Consider the following 24737-nt stretch of genomic DNA (forward strand, 5'->3'; position numbering starts at 1 on the left):
ACAAATGGAGGAACATTCCATGCTGACAGGTAGGAAGAATCAATATCATGAAAATGGCCATACTGCCCAAGGTAATTTTTAGATTCAATACCATCCCCATCAAGCTACCAATGACTTTCTTCACAGAATTGGAAAAAACTACTTTAAAGTTCATATGGAACCAAAAAAGAGCCCACATTGCCAAGTCAATCCTAAGCCAAAAGAACAAAGCTGGAGGCATCATGCTACTTGACTTCAAGCTATACTACAAGGCTACAGTAACCAAAACAGCATGGTACTGGTACCAAAACAGAGATATGGACCAATGGAACAGAACAGAGCCCTCAGAAATAATTCTGCATATCTGCAACTATCTGATCTTTGACAAACCTGAGAAAAACAAGCAATGGGGAAAGGATTCCCTATTTAATAAATGGTGCTGGGAAAACTGGCTAGCCATATGTAGAAAGCTGAAACTGGATCCCTTCCTTACACCTTATACAAAAATTAATTCAAGATGGATTAAAGACTTAAATGTTAGACCTAAAACCATAAAAACCCTAGAAGAAAACCTAGGCAATACCATTCAGGACATAGGCATGGGCAAGGACTTCATGACTAAAACACCAAAAGCAATGGCAACAAAAGCCAAAATTGACAAATGGGATCTAATTAAACTCAGGAGCTTCTGCGCAGCAAAAGAAACTACCATCAGAGTGAACAGGCAACCTACAGAATGGGAGAAAATTTTTGCAATCTACTCATCTGACAAAGGGCTAATATCCAGAATCTACAATAAACTCAAACAAATTTATAAGAAAAAAACGACCTCATCAAAAAGTGGGTGAGGGATATGAACAGACACTTCTCAAAAGAAGACATTTATGCAGCCAGAAGACACATGAAAAAATGGCCATCAGAGAAATGCAAATCAAAACCACAATGAGATACCATCTCACACCAGTTAGAATGGCAATCATTAAAAAGTCAGGAAACAACAGGTGCTGGAGAGGATGTGGAGAAATAGGAACACTTTTACACTGTTGGTGGGACTGGAAACTAGTGCAACCATTGTGGAAGTCAGTGTGGTGATTCCTCAGGGATCTAGAACTAGAAATACCATTTGACCGAGCCATCCCATTACTGGGTATATACCCAAAGGATTATAAAACATGCTGCTATAAAGACACATGCACACGTATGTTTATTGCGGTACTATTCACAATAGCAAAGACTTGGAACCAACCCAAATGTCCAACAATGATAGACTGGATTAAGAAAATGTGGCACATATACACCATGGAATACCATGCAGCCATAAAAAGTGATGAGTTCATGTCCTTTGTAGGGACATGGATGAAGCTGGAAATCATCATTCTCAGCAAACTATCGCAAGGACAAAAAACCAAACACCGCATGTTCTCACTCATATGTGGGAATTGAACAATGAGGACACATGGACACAGGGAGGGGAACATCACAGACTGGGGCCTGTTGTGGGGTGGGGGGAAGGGGGAGGGATAGCATTAGGAGATATACCTAATGTTAAATGACGAGTTAATGGGTGCAGCACAGCAGCATGGCACATGTATACATATGTAACTAACCTGCACATTGTGCACATGTACTCTAAAACTTAAAGTATAATAAAAAAAGTGTAATGCCTTTTAGTTTATGTAACTTTAGTAATCTTCGGGAAATAAAAGCAGCTTTAAAAATTATTGGTAAAATAAAAACCTTTAATGTAAATTATGCATGTCAGATATTAAGTTCGTTAAATGCTTTAAGGTCCTAAACTGCTTCTTTAACTTTTAATAATTGTTCAACTTACCTACCTGAAAGCCATTAGATTCTAGATAAGGCCTCGGGGCATGTGGAATTAGCCATGCCCTCTAGCTATACAAAGAAGATTATAAAGAAAGTTATTTTATGTGAGAAAAGATCTTGTATGGTAAATTCTTGTCCTAAAGTAAAATGACTGGTTGTTTAAAAGGAGGGATGTTTGGAGCAAGTCAGAATGTCCGAAAATGTCTCAGATGGTCTATGTAAGTCGTGAAAGGATTTGTGAAAGGGAATTTATGCAGAAATGTAAAATTCAAAGGTTGTTAGGCCTCGTAAATGCTTCAAAAAATGCCACTGTGGCTCCTTTTTTTTTGAGAGGGAGTTTTGCTCTCGTCACCCAGGCTAGAATGCAATGGCATGATCTTGGCTGACTGTGGCCTCCACCTCCCGAGTTCAGGCAATTCTCCTGCCTCAGCCTCCCAAGTAGCTAGGATTAAAGGCTCACTGTGGCCTCCGCCTCCTGGGTTTGGGCGATTCTCCTACCTCAGCCTCCCAAGTAGCTGGGATTACAGGCACTGGCCACCACACCAGGCTAATTTTTGTATTTTTAGTAGAGACGGGGTTTCAGCATGTTGGCCAGGCTGATCTTGAGCTCCTGACCTCAGGTGATCAGCCTGCCTCAGCCTCCCAAAGTGCTGAGATTACAGCTGTGAGCCACTGCACCAGGCAGACTCTTACTCTAGGACTTGCCAGCTTAAGTAGGGTAAGGCCTGGGGACATGTGGATTTAGCCACATCCCCTAGCTATGCTGGAGACCCAGCTTTTATCTGCTCTTCTGCCTGGTGTGTCCTAGGCTAGGCTCCACACCTAGTACATAATTAAAATGTCAAATTGACCAAGGTTTTTACCAAAAATAGAAGTTGCTAAGAGTTAACATTGTAACATATAGTTGAGACTACTGAAGAAACAATTTTACATGCAAGGTGTGTAAAGAAAGTAAAATGTGATTTTGGTGAAAGATTGTAAGAAGTCATGGGAATGTGGAATTTTTTCTGCCTAAAGTGTTAAAGGATTGTTTTAAGTAAGAAAAAAGTCTAAAGATTTAAACAAGTTGTGGAAGGTTTATAAAAATTAATTTTAAGGGATTCTGTGTGTGAATATATTGGCTAAAGTTAAAGGGGTATTATTCAGTTTTTCTGTAAATTAAACATTGCAATAAAAGTACAACAGGTTTTTCTTAGAGTACTGATCTGCTCTTTCACAAAAAAATGTAAAGGGTTATAAAAAGGTTTATAAGAATCTTACCTTATGGTTAAACATTGAAATTGGGAAAATATGTCTATAAGGTTTTATTAAAAATTGAATTTAACGTTACTAGTACATTAACGTAAAGGTGAAATTTGGCTTATTTGGTATATATCAATTTACCCACCTCAAAGCCATTAGATTCTAGATAAGGTCTCGGGACATGTGGAATTAGCCATGCCCTCTAGCTATACAAAGAAGATTATAAAGAAAGTTATTTTATATGAGAAAGGATCTTGTATGGTAAATTCTTGTCCTAAAGTAAAATGACTGGTTGTTTAAAAGGAGGGATGTTTTTATTTTATATTTTATACAAATGTTTTTATTTTATATTCATACATGAAGCATTATCAAATGTGAAATAGTGTTTTGCTTTCTTTGGACTAAATTTGTATAAATGTGTTATTGGTATATGTTCCAAAGTTATGGGAAACCCCTATAATTCTAATATGACTTAGTGTATGTTATTAATAATTACAGTTGTTACATAAAATCACTGTATGCCACAGAGGTAACAAATTCCCTTATCAATTGTGGCTTTACTAGTGGCTGTCCTAAAACTTTTTATTAGCCACAGAAAATTGTTGTCTTGTTTTAATTTTCTTTAGAAGGTGGTTTATAATCCACTATAGAACTCTAGCAGGTGTTCTTAAATGCAGCTTTCTGATAACTTCGGAAATTGTAACATTAAAATACAGGAAACAACTTTCAGAATTCTCATGAAGAGCTAAAATGTTCATGAATATCAAGCAAAACCAAAACAGGAGTTAACTAAATTCACTGAACCAATAAAAAGCTGAAGTAATATTTTAACTTTGCTTAAAATGCTGCTGATCCTTTGTTTTGTTTTTCAGAGTCAAGGAAACTTTTCTTTTGAGCTACTTACAGCTTTTAGAAGTTGAGTAAAATATACTCCTGCGAACAAAATTTGGGGCATATTTGTTTCTCTCTACCTGATTTTGCCAGAATTTGGAAACTAGTTGTGAGTATTCTTAACTTATGGCAGTATAGTTATTTGCATAAGTACAGTAAGAATCTGTTTTCTTTTGTAACAGGACACAGTTGGAGAAATTGATTATTTTATCAAGGCTTTCACTGGAATGGTGTGTTTTCCTTTGGAGAATTAAACTTGACTTATAGAGCCAATAAAAGCCCCATGGGGAACTGGCCTCATACCTTGCCTACAACAGTCCCTGTGCAGGGTTTCTGACTGGTGGTGAGTAAAGAATGTCACTTTCTGACAGGTCCAGAAGCCCAAAGTTATCTTGGGACCTCAGGAGGAAAAAATTACCCAACTCATAGGTATTTAAGGGTAGAAACCCATGGTTGGGCTCGGCTTTAAAAAAGTCTTATCTGAAATTCCTATGGAACAGAGTTCCATCAATGCCAATTTAAAAAGAGCTTATGTGAAAAATAATTATTCTTGTTGCACTTTATACAAATAATCATGCCAAGTATAATAAAGCAAATCTGTCTTACCATGATTTGTCTTTAGTAAAAATGAGAAACTGGAGAGAGAAATATTATGTTTCAAAAGCTATGTTATACTTATTAGATTCTAGTCTCATCAGTTGTTATTAAGTTTATTTCTGCAATTTAGGGTAACCCTACTTATTCCTGTGAACCAACCAGTGATCTCTGACTGTTGCTCAGCAGAAACAAGAGGGATGGGTAATGTAAAAATCTGGATCAGTATTCTAATTCTGGGTACATTGCAATCAGCTAACAACCCCATACCAGCTTAGTTCCAACAGTTGCCCAGTTCATGAAAAGCCTTCTAATTTAGTGTACTTGGAATAACTTTACTTATTTTGCTTTACTCCTGTGGAATATATTGCTGGTATATTCTTTGTGTAGGAATACAGGACAAGCTTACTGAATGTTTTCTTAAACACCTATTAATCTTCCAAATATTACCTTTTGTCAAAACTCAAGAGTTATGAATGGATCTTACCATACTGAAGCTTTCTGACTGAGCTCCTCTCTACCTTGAATGCAAGAAACGCTCATAGTTAGGTAGGAATATCATAGCCCCTATTCATCCTGAAGTTACAGAAGATGAATCTCCATCAGCAGTGTGTGAACCAGAGCAACTGCATTTTAAATAGGAGCTGGGTGAAATGAGGCTGAAACTTACTAGGCTGCATTCCCAGACAGTTAAGGCATTCTAAGTCACAGGATGAGATAGGAAGTCAGCACAAAATACAGGTCATAAATACCTTGCTGATAAAACAGGTTGCAGTTAAGGAGTCAGCCAAAACCCACCAAAACCAAAATGGCAATGAGAGTGACATCTGGTCGTCCTCACTGCTACATTCCCATTGGCACCATGATAGTTTACAAATGCCATGGCAATGTCAGGAAGTTACCCTATATGGTCTAAAAAGGGGAGGCATGAATAATCCACCCCTTGTTTAGCATATCAACAAGAAATAACCATAAAAATGGGCAACAGCAGCCCTTGAGGCTGCGCTGTCTATGGAGTAGCCATTCTTTTATTCCTTTACTTTGTTAATAAACTTGCTTTCACTTTGAAAAAAACAAACAAACACAAGTGCAGAAACATACATGCATGAGTACAACCATTAATTAGAAGAAAATAATCTTACATATTTAACATTATTACCATTTCTGGTGCTCTTAATTCCTTTGTTTAGATCAAAATTTCCACCTGTTTTTATTTTCCTTCTATAAGAAGGATGTCTCTTAACATTTCTTGTAATGTGATGTACTGGGCACTGTTCTTTTTTGTTTTTCTTTTTTATTTTACTTTAAGTTCTGGCATACATGTGCAAAATGTGCAGATTTGTTACATAGGTATACATATGCCATGGTAGTTTGCTGCACCTATCAACCCATCATCTCGGCTTTAGGTTCCGCATGCATTAAGTATTTGTCCTAATGCTCTCCCTCCCCTTGGATGAGGTTTTTGTGCGGGGGTCCTTTTTGTTGGTGTTGATGTTATTGCCTTCTGTTTGTTAGCTTTTCTTCTAACAGTCAGGCCCCTCTTCTGCAGGTCTGCTGCAGTTTTCTGGAGGTCCGCTCAAGACCCTATTTACCTGGGTATCACCAGCAGAGGCTGCAGAACAGCAAAGACTGCTGCCTGCTCCTTCCTCTGGAAGCTTTGTCCCAGAGGGGCAGCGGCCTGATGCCAGCCAGAGCACTCCTGTATGAGATGTCTGTCCACCCCTGCTGGGAGGTCTCTGCCAGTTAGGAGGCAGGGGGTTCAGGGACCCACTTGAGGAGGCAGTCTGTCCCTTAGCAGAGCTCGAGCGCTGCACTGGAAAAACCTTTTCAGGATGCACTGCTCTCTTCAGAGCCAGCAGGCAAGAACATTTAAGTCCGCTGAAGCTGTGCCCACAGCCGCCCCTTCCCCCAGGTGCTCTGTCCCAGGGAGATGAGAGTTTTATCTATAAGACCCTGACTGAGGCTGTTGACTTTCTTTCACAGATGCCCTGCCCAGTGAGGAAGAATCTAGAGAGGCAGTCTGGCCACAGCTGCTTTGCTGCCCTGTGGTGAGTTACACCCAGTCCGAACTTCCCAGCCTCCTTAACACTGTCAGTGGACGCCCCTTGCCCCACCAAGCTCCATCATCCCAGATTGACTTCAGACTGCTGTGCTAGCAGTGACAAATTCAAGCCAGTGTTTCATAGCTTGCTGGGCTCCGTGGGTGTGGGACCCGCTGAGTGACAGTGACACTACTTGGCTCCCTGGCTTCAGACCCCTTTCCAGGGTAGTGAAGGGTTCTGTCACACGGGTTCCAGGTGCCACTGGGGTATGAAATTAAAATAAATAAATAAATAAATAAAACTCCTGCAGCTAGCTCAGTGTCTGCCCAAACAGCCACTCAGTTTTGTGCTTGAAACCCAGGGCCCTGCTGGTGTTGGCACATGAGGGAATCTCCTGGTCTGTGGATTGCAAAAACTGTGGGAGAAGCATAGTATCTGGACCATATAGCACAGTCCCTCATGGCTTCCCTTGGCTGGGGGAGGAAGAACCCCAGCTCCTTGCACTTTCTGGGTGAGGCGATGCCCCACCCTGCTTCTGCTCACCCTCCAAGGGCTGCACCCACTGCCTAACCGGTCTCAATGAGATGAACTGGGTACCTCAGATGGAAATGCAGAAGTCCCCTGCCTTCTGCGTTAGTCTCACTGGGAGCTGCAGACTGCAGCTGTTCTTATTTGGCCATCTTGCCAGATCCCCGCCAACCATCCCATATAAATTTGAAAATAGTTTTTTTTCTAAATCTGTGAAGAATGTCATTGGTGGTTTAATAGGAATATCATTGAATCTATAAATTGCTTTGGTCAGTTTGGCCATTTTGACAATATTGCTTTTCCTATCATGAACATGGAATGTTTTTCCATTTGTTTGTGTCATCTCTAATTTATTCGAGCAGTGTTTTTGTAGTTCTCATAGAAGAGATTTTTCTCCTCCCTAGCTAGCTGTATTCCTAGGTATTTTATTCTTTTTTTGGCAATTGTGAATGGGATTGTGTTTCTGATTTGGCTTTGAGCTTGGAAGGTTGTTGGTGTATAGAAATGCTCCTGGTTTTTGTACATTAATTTTGTATCCTGAAACTTTCTTGAAGTTGTTTATCAGATCAAGGAGCTTTCGGGCAGAGAGTCTGGGATTGTCTAGGTATAGAACCATATTGTTTGCAAACAGAGATTGTTTGACTTCTATGAAAAATGTAGTGGAGTGAAAGCAAACACCTGTCAGCAATGGAATAGAACAATAAAAATGCCCAAGAATAAATTTAATTTGAATGTGAAGAACTAATATGAAGTAAATAACAATCATTGAGAGGGATACATAAAAAGACTTGAGGAATTGAGTAGTGGCTTTTTCTTGGATAGAGAGATTCTAAAATAGAAAGATGGTTATTGTCCCTAAGATGTAATTTAAAAATAATAACTAGTATCGCAACAGGAATATTTTAGCACCTGATCAAATGATTCTGAAGTTCATCTGAAAGACAAACGTGTCAGAATAGACAGAAAAAGAGAAAGGAATGAGGGAGGGCAAGCATTATTTCACATTTCAAATGGAATCAAGCTACAGCAATTAAAAAAGTGCGGTAGTGGTATGGTTATAAACAACTCAATAGAAGAAAATTAAAAGTAGAGAGTTACATACAAAATTGAGTGGGGATGTAGGTGATGATAAAAGAGCCATTTCAAAACACTGAGTGAAACAGGGATTCAACAACTAATGTTGAGTCCCTATCACTTTAATTTTGTCCAGATGGATCAATGATTTTGAATGTACAATAATGCAACTAAAAACTATGAATGTCTTATTGTATTGGAGTGGGTAAGTTCATTGCAAGCACGACAGCAAACTCGTGAAGGAGGCAAGAAAATGATACATGAAAGCAGATATAAAACAGGTATTAAAATATTTAATATTTATTTCTATGATGGTGAGTTTTTCTGAAACACATTCTTCCCTTAGAGTAACCTGGGGCTCATATTCTCCAAAGCCATTGGAAGTGAAAGAAAGGGTGGGCGGGGGAAAAAGTAAAGTGTTTTGTAAGTTCATTTTTGGTGTCAGGAGAGCTTGTGGTCTAGGTTCTCCACAGAGGCAGGAAAACTTCAGTCACGTGGTGAATGCCCCACTCAGTGCGCATGCTGCACAGATCTGTTACTGCAGATTTCTGTTGCTACGCATGTCTGTTACGCATGCGCCTTGTTGCCTACCTTCTGTCCATGCAGAGCTTTGTGAGAAGAGGTAGTATCTTCATTCTTTCCACCATCTTGATTCTTTCTCTCTGACTGAGGCTCAGCCGGTAGGTCCGCAGAGCGGTCTTCCTGGGAATTTAGTTGTGAGTGAATGTGAGGAGGAGCCAGCGGGCTTTGGACAGGTCCTGCGGCACAGTCTTTGGCTTCTGAGGGAAAGGGGCCTCGCAGTCGTCGTCCGGCTCCTCCCAGGTCGCAATGCTGCTATGGGCCTTGACGTAGTGGCTAGGCTGGAACTAGGGAGGAAAGTGGGCCGCAGAGGGGAGGGATCACGTGAAGATGGGGCGAGTGCTGGAGGTGCTGTTAGAGGTATCTGAGTCCCGAAAACTGGAACCCTCTGAGAGAGGACAGTTTCCAGACTCCTCAGTAGGGACGCGGGAAGGGATGGTGAGGTCGGCAAGGAAGGGGCCTGGGAACTAGGAACGCTGTGGGCTGGTGACTGCGGCCCTGAGGTCTGTAGAGTGCCTGGCAGAGGTGTCCCGTGAGGAACATAAACTTCCCTCTGTGTCGCAACTTCTCACCTCCGCCATGGACGTCATGGGAAGGAATGGGCGAGGCTGTGCGTTCCAGCAAAACTTGATTTTGGTGGGAGGGGTGTAGGGGGGAAATGGGCCTAGTAAATTAAAGTGGGACGAAAGCAGTAGTTATTTCAATTCTCTGCCCGTTTTTTCCTAAATGCCTTCATGACGGAGAGTCTAATTGTAAAACCAAAACTCAAAAAAGTCCTCTTGGCCGGGCGCGGTGGCTCACGCCTGTAATCCCAGCACTTTGGGAGGCCGAGGCGGGCGGATCACGAGGTCAGGAGATCGAGACCATCCTGGCTAACAAGGTGAAACCCCGTCTCTACTAAAAATACAAAAAATTAGCCGGGCGTGGTAGCGGGCGCCTGTAGTCCCAGCTACTCGGGAGGCTGAGGCAGGAGAATGGCGTGAACCCGGGAGGCGGAGCTTGCAGTGAGCCGAGATCGCGCCACTGCACTCCAGCCTGGGCGACAGAGCGAGACTCCGTCTCAAAAAAAAAAAAAAAAAAAAAAAAAGTCCTCTTGTCTTTTGCTGTGGCGTTAAGGTGATTTCTATGCCTCTTCGACCGTGATACAAACAAATCTGTCCTTAGTTTGATTGGAAAGCATGCGTACTTATCATTGCTCTGTGAATTATTTTGAAAATATTTTCAAAATTAAAAAAGTACAAATCACCATTTTGCCATGGAATGTTCATATATATAGCTAAGTTCTTACACACTTTTTCCAAATAACAATATTCTGTTTTCAGTGGGAAATATGAGTGAGCATGTAAGAACAAGATCCCAATCCTCAGAAAGAGGAAATGACTAAGAGTCTTCCCAGCCAGTTGTATCTGTGATTGTGAGTCCTTTAACATTTGATGTTTTCTATTAGCACAATTTATTTTAAAAAATATTTTTGGGCTAGTGTACATGCACTGATACAGGTGTTCCATGCTGTTAAAAAATGATGATGGCATCTCATGAAGGAAACTTTGGTTCAGGAATATTATATTCTGGTGTTACCCTGTATGGATATGGATATTTCTCTCTCTCTCTCTCTCTCTCTCTCTCTCTCTCTCTCTATATATATATATATATATATATATATATATATATATATATACACACATACATGTGTGTGTGTGTGTATATATATCTGTTGGAAAAATGTCTTTAGATTTATGATTCGATGCACATATGCATTTGTGTATTTATATTATTGACTTTTTATTCGCACACACACTTAACACCCTTAGGTCCAGCAGCCCACTGAGGAAAAACGTCAAGAAGAGGAGCCACCAACTGAAAATCAGGGTATTGCACCTACTGGGGAGATCGAAAATGAAGCGGCACCTGCCCTTCAAGGTGAAGGAAGAGTGGAGAATAATGCTTATGGGTGGTGGAGGTATATTTATGCATTATATTTTATGACATACCAGTAACAGGAGGACAGAAAACATTAGGAAGGAATCTTAAACATTTCTTACTGCTGCTGTGCGGAGAGGTGGGACAAGGACACATAAAAAGCCACAAAACTTTCCTGCCGTTTTGACAGAGGCTTTTTATTGATTGGGTATTTGCATGGTTGCCGTAAACCTTTGAGTGTTTTCCAGAGTTCCTGTATGGTTTGTTCAGTCATTTTCTGTTTTTGTTTTGTTTTGTTTTGTTTTATGTTTCTGTGGAAGAATGGCAGCTTGCAGCTTCCGAGTCTGCCATCTACGGACATCTCATGTATTTTTAAGAAACTTTTTAACACACATTTATTAATGCTTCCTCATGCTGTGTAATATACTAAGTGCTGGAGATGTCAGTGCCAAATTTTTGCCTAAAGCTCATAGTCTAGTCAGACTGACTCAAACAAATCACTGATTTAATGTGATAAGAATAAGAACAAATGAGTACAAAAGGAACAAGTAAGTTGTCTAGGGCCAGCCTTGGGAAAGGAAAGCGCAATGTTTGAACATCTCTGCTTTCCTGTTTTCCTGGCAAGAGACTCCTGAAATAATTAGCCTATAGGTTTTTATTTCATAATGATGAGGGAATAAATATTATCATTTCCTCGTTCGTAGTTCAGTTTTTAATTTGTAAATTGATGACCTTTTTATCTTTTAAGGACCTGATGTGGAAGCTTTTCAACAGGAACTGGCTCTGCTTAAGATAGAGGATGCACCTGGAGATGGTCCTGATGTCAGGGAGGGGACTCTGCCCACTTTCGATCCCACTAAAGTGCTGGAAGCAGGTATGTTACTCAATAAGATGGAAACTATAGGGTTTCTATTTTCACAATATTATATTTTATGTGACACAGAGGTAAAATTACTGCTACTTCAATATCATACTTCACATCTAAAGATTCTTTGAAGGTAGTTCAGACCCCAAATGGCTGCCTTACACACTATCAGAGATAGAGGGCCAGGTGTGGTGGCTCATGCTGTTAATTCCAGCACTTTGGGAGGCCGAGGCAGAAGGATCACTTGAGGCCAGGACTTCTAGAGATGGAGAAAAATTGGGTCAAAGCTAATTGGATTATGATATGAAAGATATGAAACATGATAAGGGAGTAGATTTTGAGTGTCTTCACAGCTATGTGAAGTAATGCATATGTTAATTAGGTTGATGTAGCCATTTCACAATGTGTATATATATTTTAAAGCATCATGTTATACATCATAAATATATATTATTTTATGTGTGATTTTTAAAAGAAAGATATGAAAACATGTTCTGACTTTTGAAAGTAAGTCATTTAACCAACAGCCAATAACTTTCAGATAGTTTTATAGAGGCCTGTTTTTAACAAATACATAACATGTTGATAATAAGCATCAGTTTATATTGCAATGTTAACTGTGATGGTAATGGCTTAAAGCTAGCGTGGGTATTCAGTTTGCTGTACAAACTGAACTGCTTTTAGGCATGTAAAGAGACAGGAGTACCCGTGAAAATAGTGCAAATGTTCGCCCTACTTAAAGCAACTACATAATGGCTAAACTAGTCCAAAGTAACGTTTTTACACTTTTTCACAAGAGACACAAAACAAATGTAATACTGACTTTTCTATTTCCTTCACTAAGGCTGTTCTAAGCATATTCTATATTCAGAGTGTTATTTCATATCAAAATATTTAAATGATACTTTAAAATATCTTTTCCCTTAGGATTTTGTTTCTTTGAATTTTCATTGAAAGTATATGCATTTTTTTTGCTTTCCACTTATACATACAAAATAGATTCACTTGATTTAATTCATTCTGAAATTGAACAGTCTCTTTGTTTCCTTATCCTACTAGAAAAAGTGGCATGAATTAAAAATATTGTTAATATGCCTGGAAGTCTACCTTCAGAGTTTATTCAGAGGCTAACTGGACGTAAACTAAAGGGTCACCCTCAGGGTTCTGATATTAGTTCATCAACACGGTAGTTGTATACCTCTAGTGTCACATGAATAAAAATCTGCTGAGTAACGGGCCATAATTATATATTTATTTTATAGGTGATGTGAAAACGTAGGTTTAAACCAAGACAAATGAGGACTGAAACCAAGAATCTTATTCTTAATCTGGAAATTTGACTGATAACATTCTCCTAACAAAGTTTTACAGTTTTCTGCAAAGAATCCTTGCACACTTTTGTTAAATTTATCTCTGGATCTTTAATACTCTTGAGAATTGTATCTTTTTTGAAAGTTTAAATCCTGTGTTTGAGATGGTACATAGAGATGAAATGTTGGTACATTGATTTTCTATCATAGATAGGAAGCTGGAAGCTTTCATAGGGGGATGCCAACAGCTGCACAGATGGAAAAGGCCACCTGGGGCCAGGCATGTCCACCATGGGCTTTCCACCTCCTCGTTTTTAGCACATGCACAGTAAGAATGAAATGAGCAACATGGAGTAGCTCAGGCTGAGAACCCGCCTGCATAATAAAAGATTAGTGTGGGGGCTGCCAGAGATTCACGCCCTATGTAGATGGTACACCTGGTCCTAACCAGTTGTTTGTACCCTATGTAGGTGATCAGATACTGCCTCCCCACTAGTTCATCTATAAAAACCCCTGCATTTCACTGCAGGATGGCAACCATTTCTTCTGGGACCCCTCTCTGTAGCAGAAAGCTGTTCTCTTTGTTTCTCCTACTAACTTTCTGCTGTAAACCTCACTCTTGGTGTGCCCATGTCCTTGATTTCCTTGGCTGTGAGACCAAGAACTATGGGTGTTACCCCAGACAATGAGGCCACTTCAATAGTAGCTGTGGGTCTGTGGTATATGGCTTTTATTACATTGGAGTATGTTCCTTCTTTCCCCGGTGTTTGAGGGTTTGTATCATGATGACATATTGAGTTTTATTAAATGCTTTTCAGCATCAATTGAAATGATTATATGGATTATATCCTTCATTCCATTCATATGATTTATCACATAAATTAATTTGCATATGTTGAACCATCGTTCCATCCCAGGGATAAATCTCACTTGGTCATGATGATTGTTCTTTCTAATGTATTGTTGAATTTGATTTGCTAGTATTCTGTTGAGGATTTCTGCATCAATATTCATCAGCAGTTTTGCCCTGTAGTTTTCTTTTTTTGATGTGTCTTTGTCTGGTTTTGGTATCAGGATAATACTGGCCTCATAGAATGAGTTTGGAAGTATTCCTTCCTCCTCTATTTTTCGAAATAGTTTGAGTAGGACTGGTATTAGTCCTTCTTTAAATGTTGGGTAGAATTCAGTAGTGAAGCCATCAGTTCCGGGTGTTTCTTTACTGGAAGACTTTTATTATGGCCTTGATCTTGTTGCTTGTTACTGGTCTGTTCAGGTTATGAATTTCTTCATGGTTCATTCTTGGGAGGCTGTATGTATCTAGGAATTAGTCCATTTTTTTTCTAGATTTTCCAATTTATAGGCATGGAGTTTCTCATAGGAGCCAGTTATGATCCTTTGAAGTTTTGCAGCATCAATTTTATAATGTCTCCTTTTTCATTTCTTTCTTTTTCATTTATTTATTTATTTTTTCTGGAGACAGTCTCCTTTTGTCACCAGGCTGGAGCGCAGTGGCACAGTCTCAGCTCACTAGAACCTCCACCTCCAGGGTTCAAGCAATTCTCTTGCTTCAGCCACCGTAGTAGCTGGGATTACAGGCACCTACCACCATGCCTCGTTAATTTTTGTATTTTTAGTAGAGATGGAGTTTTGCCATGCTGGCCAGGTTGGTCTTGAAGTCCTGGCCTCAGGTGATCCACCTGCCTCAGCCTCCCAAATCGTTTTTCATTTCTGATTTATTTATTTGGTTTCCCTCTTTTTTTATTACTTTGGCTAATGGTTTGTCAATTTTGGTTAACTTATTAAAAAAACTTTTTGTGTTATTGCTCTTTTATAGGGTTTTTTCATTTCAATTTCATTTATTTCTGCTGGGATCTTTATTATTTCTTTTCTTCTAATTTTTGGTTTGGTTTGCTCTTTCTTTGCAGCTCTTTAAGATGCATCATTAGATTGTTTATTTGAAGTTTTTACCTTTTTTGTTTTAGGCACTTATAGCTATAAACCTCTTTCTGAGTACTGTTTTTGCTGTATCCCATCGGTTTTGATGTGTTGTGTCTCCATTATCATTTGTTTCAATAACTTTTTAAATTTCCTTCTTAGCTTCTTCATTGACCCATTATTCATTCAGGAGCAGATTATTCAGTTTTCATGTATTTATATAGTTTCCAAAATTCCTCGTTATTAATTTCTAGTTTTATGGCATTGTGGTCTGACAAGATCCATGATATTATTTCAGGTTTTTTTTTTAATGTTTTGAGATCTAACATATATGGTCTTGTCCTTGAGAATGATCCATGTGCTGAGGAAAAGAATGTGTATTCTGTAGCTGTTGGATGAAATGTTCTGTAAATATCTATTAGATCCATGTGTCTGCAGTGCAGATTAACTCTGTTTTTGTTTTTGTTGTTGTTGTTGAGTTTCTGTCTGGCAGATCTGTCCAATACTGAATGTGGGGTGCTGAAGTCGCCATCTATTATTTTATTGGGGCCTATCTCTCTCTTTAGCTCTAATAGCATTTGTTTTATACATCTGGGTGCTAAAATGTTGAATGCGTATTTATTTAAAATTGTTAATATCCTTTGGATGAATTGACCCCTTTATTATTATATAGTGACCTTTTAGTCTCTTCTCAAAGTTTTTGTTTTGAAATCTATTTTTTTCTTATTCTTTTGGTATCTTTTAAGTTCAGGCATACATGAGGTGCAGGTTTGTTATACAGGTGAACTTATGTCATGGGGGTTTGTTGTACGATTATTTTGTCACCCAGGTATTAAGCCTGGTACTTATGAGCTATTTTTTCCTGATCCTCTCCCTCCTCCCATCCTCCACTCTTTGGTGGGCCCCAGTGTCTGTTGTTCTCCTCTGTGTGTTTATTTTTTCCCATTTATAGCTTCCACTTATAAGTGAGAACATGCAGTATTTAGTTTTCTGTTCATGCATTACTTTGCTAAGTATAATGACCTCCAGCTCCGTCCATGTTCTGGCCACGGAGATAATGTCATTCGTTTTTATGGCTGCATCCTATTCCATGGTATATATGTACTCCATTTTCTTTATCCAGTCTACCGTTGATGGGCTTTTTGGTTGATTCCATGTATTTGATATTGTGAATAGTGCTGCAGTGAACATATGTGTGCATGTGTCTTTATGATAGAACAGTTTATATCCCTTTGGCTGTATACCCAGTAATGGGATTGCTGTATCGAATGGTAGTTCTGTTTTTAGGTCTCTGGGGGATCAGCACACTGTTTCCCACAATGGTTGAACTAATTTCCACTTCCACCAACAGTGAATAAGTGTTTCCTTTTCTCCACAAAGTCACCAGCATCATTTTATTTTACCAGTTATTTTATTTTATTTTACTTTTTAATAATAGCCATTCTGACTGGTGTGAGATGATATCTCATTGTGGTTTGAATTGCACTTCTCCAATGATCAGTGGCTTTGAGCTTTATTTCATATGCTTGTTGGCCACATACATGTCTCCTTTTGATAGTGTTTGTTCATGTTCTTGGGCCACTTTTTAATGGTATTATTTTTTGTTTTGTTTTGTTTTCTGAGACGATGTCTCAGTCTGTTGCCCAGGCTGGAGTGCAGTAGCACAGTCTCCACTCACTGCAACCTCTGCCTCCCAGTTTGAAGTGATTCTCCTGCCTCAGCCACCCTAGTACCTGGGATTACAGGCATGCACCACCATACCAAGCTAATTTTGTATTTTGTTGGTTTAAAGCCCGTTTTATCAAAGATGAGGATTGCAACCCCTACTTTTTTTTTCTTTCCATTTGCTTGCTCAGTATTCCTCCATTCCTTTATTTTGAGCCTCCATGTCCTTTGTATGTGAGATGAGTCTTCTGTATCTATCACACCGATGGGTCTTGACTTTTTATCCAATGTGCCAGTCTCTGTGTTTTCGTTTGGTTGAATTTTTACTGAAAGTATATGCATTTTTTTTTGGTTTCCTCTTTTTTTTTTTTTTTGAGACGGAGTCTCGCTCTGTCGCCCAGGCTGGAGTGCAGTGGCATGATCTTGGCTCATTGCACCCTCCGCCTCCTGGGTTCACACCATTCTCCTGCTTCAGCCTCCCTAGTAGTTGGGACTACAGGTGCCTGCCACCACGCCCAGATAATTTTTTATATTTTTAGTAGAGACGGGGTTTCACCGTGTTAGCCAGGATGGTCTCGATCTCCTGACCTTGTGATCCGCCTGCCTCGGCCTCCCAGAGTGCTGGGATTACAGGCGTGAGCCGCCGAGCCTGGCCTGCTTTCCTCTTATACATATAAAATAGATTCACTTGGTTTAATTCATTCTGAACTTGAACAGTCTTTTTGTTCCCTTTTTGTGCTAGAAAATGTGGTATGAGTTAAAAATGTTGTTAACTACCTTCAGAGTTTATTCAGAGGCTAACTGGATGTAAGCTAAAGGGTCACCCTTAGGGTTCTGATTTTACGGTTATTTGTATACCTCTGGTGTCATCTAAATAAAAATTTGCTGAGTAACATGTTCTAATTTTATATTTATATTATAGGTAATGGGCAACCATAGGTTTAAACCAAGACAAATGAAGACTGAAACCAAGAATGTTGTTCTTATGCTGGAAATTTGACTGCTAACATTCTCTTAATAAAGTTTTACAGTTTTCTGCAAATAATTCTTTCATATTTTTGTTAAATTTATTTCTGAATTTTTAATACTCCCGAGAACTGTATCTTTTATGAAAGTTTAAATCCTGTGTTTGAGATGGTATATAAAGATAAAATGTTGATACATTGATTTTCTATCATAGATAGATAGGAAGCTGGAAGCTTTCATAGGGGGATGCCAGCAGCTGCACAGATAGAAAAGGCCACATGGGGCCAGGTATGTCCACCATGGGGGTTGCATCTCCCTTTTTTTAGCACATGCACAGTAAGAAAGTAATGAGCAACATGGAGTAGCTCAGGCTGAGGACCTGCCTGTGTAATAAAAGTTTAGGGTAGGGGCTGCCAGAGATTCATGCCCTATGCAGATGGTACACCTGGTCATATCTGGTTGTTTGTACCCTATGTAGATCAGATACTGCCTCCCCACTAGCTCATCTATAAAAACCCCTGCATTTCACTGCAGGATGGCAACCCTTTTTTCGGGACCCCTCTCTGTAGCAGAGAGTTGTTTTCTTTCTTTCTCCTATTAAATTTCTGCTCTAAACCTCATTCTTGGTGTGTCTGTGTCGTTGATTTCCTTGGCTGTGAGACCAAGAACTCTTGGAGTTACCCCAGACCACAAGGCCATTTCAATGCTAGCTGTGGATGTGTTGTATATGGCTTTTATTACAGTTAAGTATGTTCTTTCTATTCCCAGTGTTTTGAGGGTTTGTATCATGATGACAATGTTGAGTTTTATTAAATGCTTTTTTAGCATCAATTGAAATGATTATATGTTTTTTATCCTTCATTCCGTTGATATGATTTATCACATAAATTAATTTGTGTATGTTGACCCATCCTTGTATCCCAGGGATAAATCTCACTTGGTCATGATGAATATTCTTTCTAATATATTGTTGAATTTGATTTGCTGGTATTTTGTTGAGGATTTCTGCATCAATATTCATCAGCGGTTTTGCCCTGTAGTTTTCTTTTTTTGATGTGTCTTTGTCTGGTTTTGGTATGAGGGCAATACTGGCCTCATAGAATTAGTTTGAAAATATTCCATCCTCCTCTATTTTTCAAAATAGTTCGAGTAGGATTGGTATTGGTTTTTCTTTTAATGTTGGGTAGAATTCAGCAGTGAAGCCAGTGAACTCAGCAGTGAAGAAAAGTCCCAGGCTTTTCTTTACTAGAAGACTTTTATTATGGCTTTGATCTTGTTACTTGTTATTGGTCTGTTCAGGTTATGGTTTTCTTCTTGGTTCAATCTTGAGAGGTTGTAGGTATCTAAGAATTGGTCCATTTGGTCTAGATTTTCCAATTTATAGGCATATATTTGCTCATAGGAGCCAGTAATGATCCTTTGACTTTCCGCAGCCTCAGTTGTAGTGTCTCCTTTTTCATTTCTTTTCTTTCTTTCTTTCTTTCTTTTTTTTTTTTGGCAGAATCGCGCCCTGTCAGCCAGGCTGGAGTGCAGTGGTGCAGTCTTAGCTCACTAGAACTTCCATTTCCTGGGATCAAGCAATTTTCTTGCCTCAGCCACCCTAGTAGCTGGGCTTACAGGCACCTGCCACCACGCCTGGCTAATTTTTGTATTTTTGGTAGAGATGGGGTTTTGCCATGTTGGCCATGCTGGTCTTGAGCTCCTGGCCTCAAATGATCTGCCTGCCTCAGCCTCCCAAATAGTTTTTTTTTATTTCTGATTTGATTTAGTTGGATTTTCTCTTTTTTTCTTAGTCTGGCTAATGGTTTGTCAATTTTGGTTGACTTATTAAAAAACAACTTTTGTTTTATTGCTCTTTTCTAGTTTTTTTTTCATTTCAGTTTCTTTTATTTCTGCTCTGATCTTTATTCTTTTCTTCTAATTTTTGGTTTGGTTTTTCTCTTTCTTTGCAGCTCTTTAAGATGCATAATTAGATTATTTGAAGTTTTTACCTTTTTTGATGTGAGCACTTATAGCTATAAACCTCTTTCTGAGTACTGCTTTTGCTGTATATCCCATAGGTTTTGGTATGTTGTGTTTCCATTATCATTTGTTTCAAGAAATTTTTAAATTTCCTTCTTAGCTTCTTCATTGACCCATTAATCATTCAGGAGTGGATTGTTGAGTTTTCATGTATTTGTATAGTTTCCAAAATTCCTCTTGTTATTCATTTCTAGGTTTATTCCATTGTGGTCTGACAAGAAGCTTGATATTATTTCAATTTTTTTAATGTATTGTGACCTAACATATGGTCTATCCCTGAGAATGATCCATGTGCTGAGGGAAAGAATGTGTATTCTGTAGCTGTTGGATGAAGTTCTGTAAATATCTATTAGATCCATGCGGTCTATAGTGCAGATTAAGTCTGGTTTTTTGTTGTCGTTGTTGAGTTTCTGTCTGGAAGATCTGTCCAGTGCTGAATGTGGGGTGCTGAAGTCTCTATCTATTATTGTATTGCAGCCTATCTCTCTCTTTAGCTCTAATAGTATTTGTTTTATATAAGTGGGTGCTCCAGTGTTGGGTGCATATATATTTAAAATCGTTACATGCTTTTGATGAGTTGACCCCTTTATTATTATATATAGTGACCTTTTTGCCTCCTTTCAATGTTTTCGTTTTGAAATCTATTTTTTTCTTTATTCTTTTTTTATTTTTTTTTATTTATTTTTTTTTTTTTTTGAGACAGAGTCTCGCTCTGTCGCCCAGGCTGGAGTGCAGTGGCGGGATCTCGGCTCACTGCAAGCTCCGCCTCCCGGGTTCACGCCATTCTCCTGCCTCAGCCTCCCAAGTAGCTGGGACTACAGGCGCCCGCCACTACGCCCGGCTAATTTTTTTGTATTTTTAGTAGAGACGGGGTTTCACCGTTTTAGCCGGGATGGTCTCGATCTCCTGACCTCGTGATCCGCCCGCCTCGGCCTCCCAAAGTGCTGGGATTACAGGCGTGAGCCACCGCGCCCGGCCTCTTTATTCTTTTTTATCTTTTATATTAAGTTCGGGCATACATGTGGTGCAGGTTTGTTATACAGGTGAACTTGTGTCATGGGTGTTTGTTGTACAGATTATTTTGTCACCTAGGTATTAAGCCTGGTACTCATGAGCTATTTTTCCTGATCCTCTCCCTCCTCCCATCCTCCACTCTTTGGTAGGCCCCAGTGCCTGTTGTTCTCCTCTATGTGTCCGTTTTTTCTCATTTTTAGCTCCCACTTATAAGTGAGAACATGCAATATTTAGTCTTCTGTTCCTGCATTACTTTGCTAAGTATAATGACCTCTAGCTCCATCCATGTTCCATCAATGGATATAATGTCATTCATTTTTATGGCTGCATACTGTTCAATGGTATATGTGTGCTACATTTCTTTTTATCCAGTCTACCATTGATAAGCTTTTAGGTTGATTCCATGTTTTTGGTATTGTTAATAGTGCTGCAGTGAACACGTGTGTGCATGTGTCTTTATGATAGAACAATTTATATTCATTTGGCTATATACCCAGTAATGGGATTGCTGGATGGAATGGTAGTTCTGTTTTTAGGTCTTTGGGGAATCACCACACTGTTTCCCACCATGGTTGAACTAATTTCCACTTCCACCAACAGTGAGTAAGTGTTTCTTTTTCTCCATAACATCACCAGCATCTGTTATTATTTTTTTTTTATTTTTTAATGATAGCCTTTCTGACTCGTGTGAGATGATATCTCATTGTGGTTTGAATTGCATTTCTCTAATGATCAGTGATGTTGAGTTTTATTTCATATGCTTGTTGGCTGCATGCATGTCTTCTTTTGAAAGTGTTCATATCCTTGGCCCAGTTTTTAAAGGTATTTTTTTTTTGTTTTGTTTGTTTTTTGAGACAGAATCTCAGACTCTTGCCCAGGTTGGAGTGCAGTGGTGCGATCTCCACTCACTGCAACCTCTGCCTTCCATGTTCAAGCGATCCTACTGCCTCAGCCCTCCCCTAGTAGCTGGGATTACAGGTGTGCACCACCACGCCCATCTGATTTTTGTATTTTTGGTAGAGATGGGGTTCTGCCACGTTGGCCAGGCTGGTCTCGAACTCCTGGCCTCAAGTAATCTGCCTGCCTTGGCCTTCCAAAGTGCTGGGATTACAGGCGTGAACCACTGAGCCTGGCCTGTCGTTTTTGTTTGTTTGTTTGTTTATTTGTAAATTTGTTTAAGTTCCTTATAGAGGCTGGATACTAGACTTTAAACAGATGCACAGTTTGCCATAATTTTCTTCCATTCTGTGTGTTGTGTTCACTCTCTGGATGGTTTCTTTGCTGTGCAGAAGCTCTTTAGTTTTATTAGATCCCATTTGTCAATTTTTGCTTTTATTGCAATTGATTTTGGCATCTTCGGTATGAAATCTTTGTCCTTTCCTATGTCCAGAATGATATTGCCTAGGTCGTCTTCCAGGATTTTTATAGTTTTGGGTTTTACGTTTAAGTTCTTAATCCATCTTTAATTAATTTTTGTGTAAAAAGTGGTCCAGTTTCAATCTTTTGCATATAGCTAGCCAGTTATCCCAGCACCATTTGTTGAATAGGGAGTCCTTTCTACATTGCTTGTTTTTGTCAACTTTGTTGAAGATCAGATGATAATAGGTGTGAAGTGTGCAGCATTATTTCTGGACTGTGTATTCTATTTCATTGGTCTATGTGTCTGTTTTGGCATCAGTAGCACGTGGTTTTGCTTATTGTAGCCTCATAGTGTAATTTAAGATGAGGTAATATGATGCCTCTGGCTTCGTTCATTTTACTTAGGATTGCCTTGGCTATTCAGGCTCTTTTTTGATTCCATATGATTTTTTTTAGATTTTTTTTTCTTTTTTTAAATTTTACTTTAAGTTCTGGGATAAATGTGCAGAACGTGCAGGTTTGTTATATAAGAATACGTGTGCCATGGTGATTTGCTGCACGTATCAACCTGTCATCTAGGTTTTAAGCCCCACATGCATTAGGTATTTGTCCTAATGCTCTCCCTCCCCTTGCCCCCCACCTCCTGACAGGCATGGGTGTATGATGTTCCCCTCCCTGTCTCCATGTTTTCTCCTTGTTCAGCTCCCACTTATGAGAGAGAACATGTGGTGTTTGTTTTTCTGTTCCTGTGTTAGTTTGCTGAGAATGATGGTTTCCAGCTTCATCCATGTTCCTGCAAAGGACATGAACTCATTCTTTTTTATGGCTGCATAGTATTCCATGGTGCATATGTGCCACATTTTCTTTATCCAGTCTATCATTGATGGGCATTTGGGTTGGTTCCAAGTCTTTGTTATTGTAAATAGTGCTGCATTAAACATATGTGTGCATGTGTCTTTATAGTAGATGATTTATACTCCTTTAGGTATATACCCAGTAATGGGATTGCTGGATCAAATGGTATTTCTGGTTCTACTTCCTTGAGGAATTGCCACACTGTCTTCCACAATGGTTGAACTAATTTACACTCCCACCAACAGTGTAAAAGTGTTCCTATTTCTCCACATCCTCTCCCGCATTTGTTGTTTCCTGACTTTTTAATGATTGCTGTTTTAACTGGCAAGAAATGGTATCTCATTGTGGTTTTGATTTACATTTCTCTAATGACCAGTGATGATGAGCTTTTTTTCATATGTTTGTTGGCCACATAAATGTCTTCTTTTGAGAAGTGTGTGTTCATATCCTTCACCCACTTTTTGCTGGGGTTGTTTGTTTTTTCTTGTAAATTTGTTTATGTTCGTTTTAGATTCTGAATATTAGACCTTTGTTAGATGGATACATTGCAAAAATTTTCTCCCATTCTGTAATTTGTGTGTTCACTCTGATGATAGTTTCTTTTGCTGTGCAGAAGCTCTTTAGTTAGATCCCATTTGTCAATTTTGGCTTTTGTTGCCATTGCTTTTGTTATTTTAGTCATGAAGTCTTTGCCCATGCCTATGTCCTGAATGGTATTGCTTAGGTTTTCTTCTAGGGTTTTTATGATTTTTGGTTTTACGTCTAAGTCTTTAATCCATCTTGAGTTAATTTTTGAATAAGGTGTAAGGGAGGGGTCCAGTTTGTTTTCTGCATATGGCTAGACAGTTTTCTCAACACCATTTATTAAATAGGGAATCCTTTCCTCATTGCTTGTTTTTGTCAGGTTTGTCAAAGATCAGATGATTGTAGATGTGTGGTGTTATTTCTGAGGCCTCTGTTCTGTTCCATTGGTCTATATATCTGTTTTGGTGCTAGGGCCATGCTGTTTTCGTTTCTGCAGCTTTGTAGTATAGTTTCAAGTCAGGTAGTGTGATGCCTCCAGCTTTGTTCTTTTTGCCTTGGATTGTCTTGGCTCTACGAGCTCTTTTTTGGTTCTATATGAAATTTAAAATAGTTTTTTATTCTGGTTCTGTGAGGAAAGCCAATGGTAGCTTGATGGGAACAGCACTGAATCTATAAATTACGTTGGGCAGTGTGGCCATTTTCATATTAATTCTTTCTATCCATTAGCATTGAGTGTTTTTCCATTTGGTTGTGTCCTCTCTTATTTCCTTGAGCAGTGGTTTGTAGTTCTCCTTTAAGAGGTCCTTCATGCCCTTGTAAGTTGTATTCCTAGGTATTTTATTCTCTTTGTAGCAATTGTGAATGGGAGTTCACTCATGATTTGGCTCTCTGCTTGTCTTTTATTGGTGGATAGCACTGCTTGTGATTTATACACATGGATGTTGTATCCTGAGACTTTGCTGAAGTTGCTTATCAGCTTAAGGAGTTTTGGGGCTGAGATGATGGGGTTTTCTAAATATACAGTCATGTCATCTGCAGCAAGAGACAATTTGATTTCCTCCCTTCCTATTTGAATACTCATTTTCTTGCCTGATTGCCCTAGCCAGAACTCCCAATACTAAGTTGAATAGGAGTGGTGAGAGAGGGCATCCTTAGGCTGGTTTTCAAAGGGAATGCTTCCAGCTTTTGCCATTCACTATGATATTGGCTATGGGTTTGAAATAAATAGCTCTTATTATTTTGAGATATGTTCCATCAATACCTAGTTTATTGAGAGTTTTTAGCATGAAGGGATGTTGAATTTTATTGTAGGCCTTTTATGCATCTATTGAGATAATCATGTGGTTGTTGTCATTGGTTCTATTTATGTGATGGATTATGTTTATTGATTTGTGTATGTTGAACCAGCCTTGCATCCCGGGGATGAAGGGGACTTGATCGTGTTGGATAAGCTTCTTGATGTGCTGGTGGATTCGGTTTGCCAGTATTTTATTGAGGATTTTTGCATTGATGTTCATCAGGGATATTGGCCTGAAATTTTCTTTT

The 24737-nt window shown here is 39.1% G+C and overlaps 1 pseudogene across 1 annotated transcript; it reads left to right on the forward strand.

Moving 5' to 3' along the window:
• Positions 1-8792: 8792 nt before the first annotated feature.
• LOC100421746 (PAGE family member 5 pseudogene) lies at positions 8793-17491 on the forward strand (annotated as a pseudogene). The gene is made up of 5 exons (NR_130179.1): positions 8793-8857; positions 10079-10170; positions 10568-10676; positions 11425-11550; positions 17374-17491. The product of NR_130179.1 is annotated as a PAGE family member 5 pseudogene (transcript).
• The last annotated feature ends 7246 nt before the right edge of the window (positions 17492-24737 follow it).

The sequence above is a fragment of the Homo sapiens genome, chromosome X (genome assembly GCF_000001405.40).
Source record: "Homo sapiens chromosome X, GRCh38.p14 Primary Assembly".
In the NCBI taxonomy this organism is placed as follows: Eukaryota; Metazoa; Chordata; class Mammalia; order Primates; family Hominidae; genus Homo; species Homo sapiens.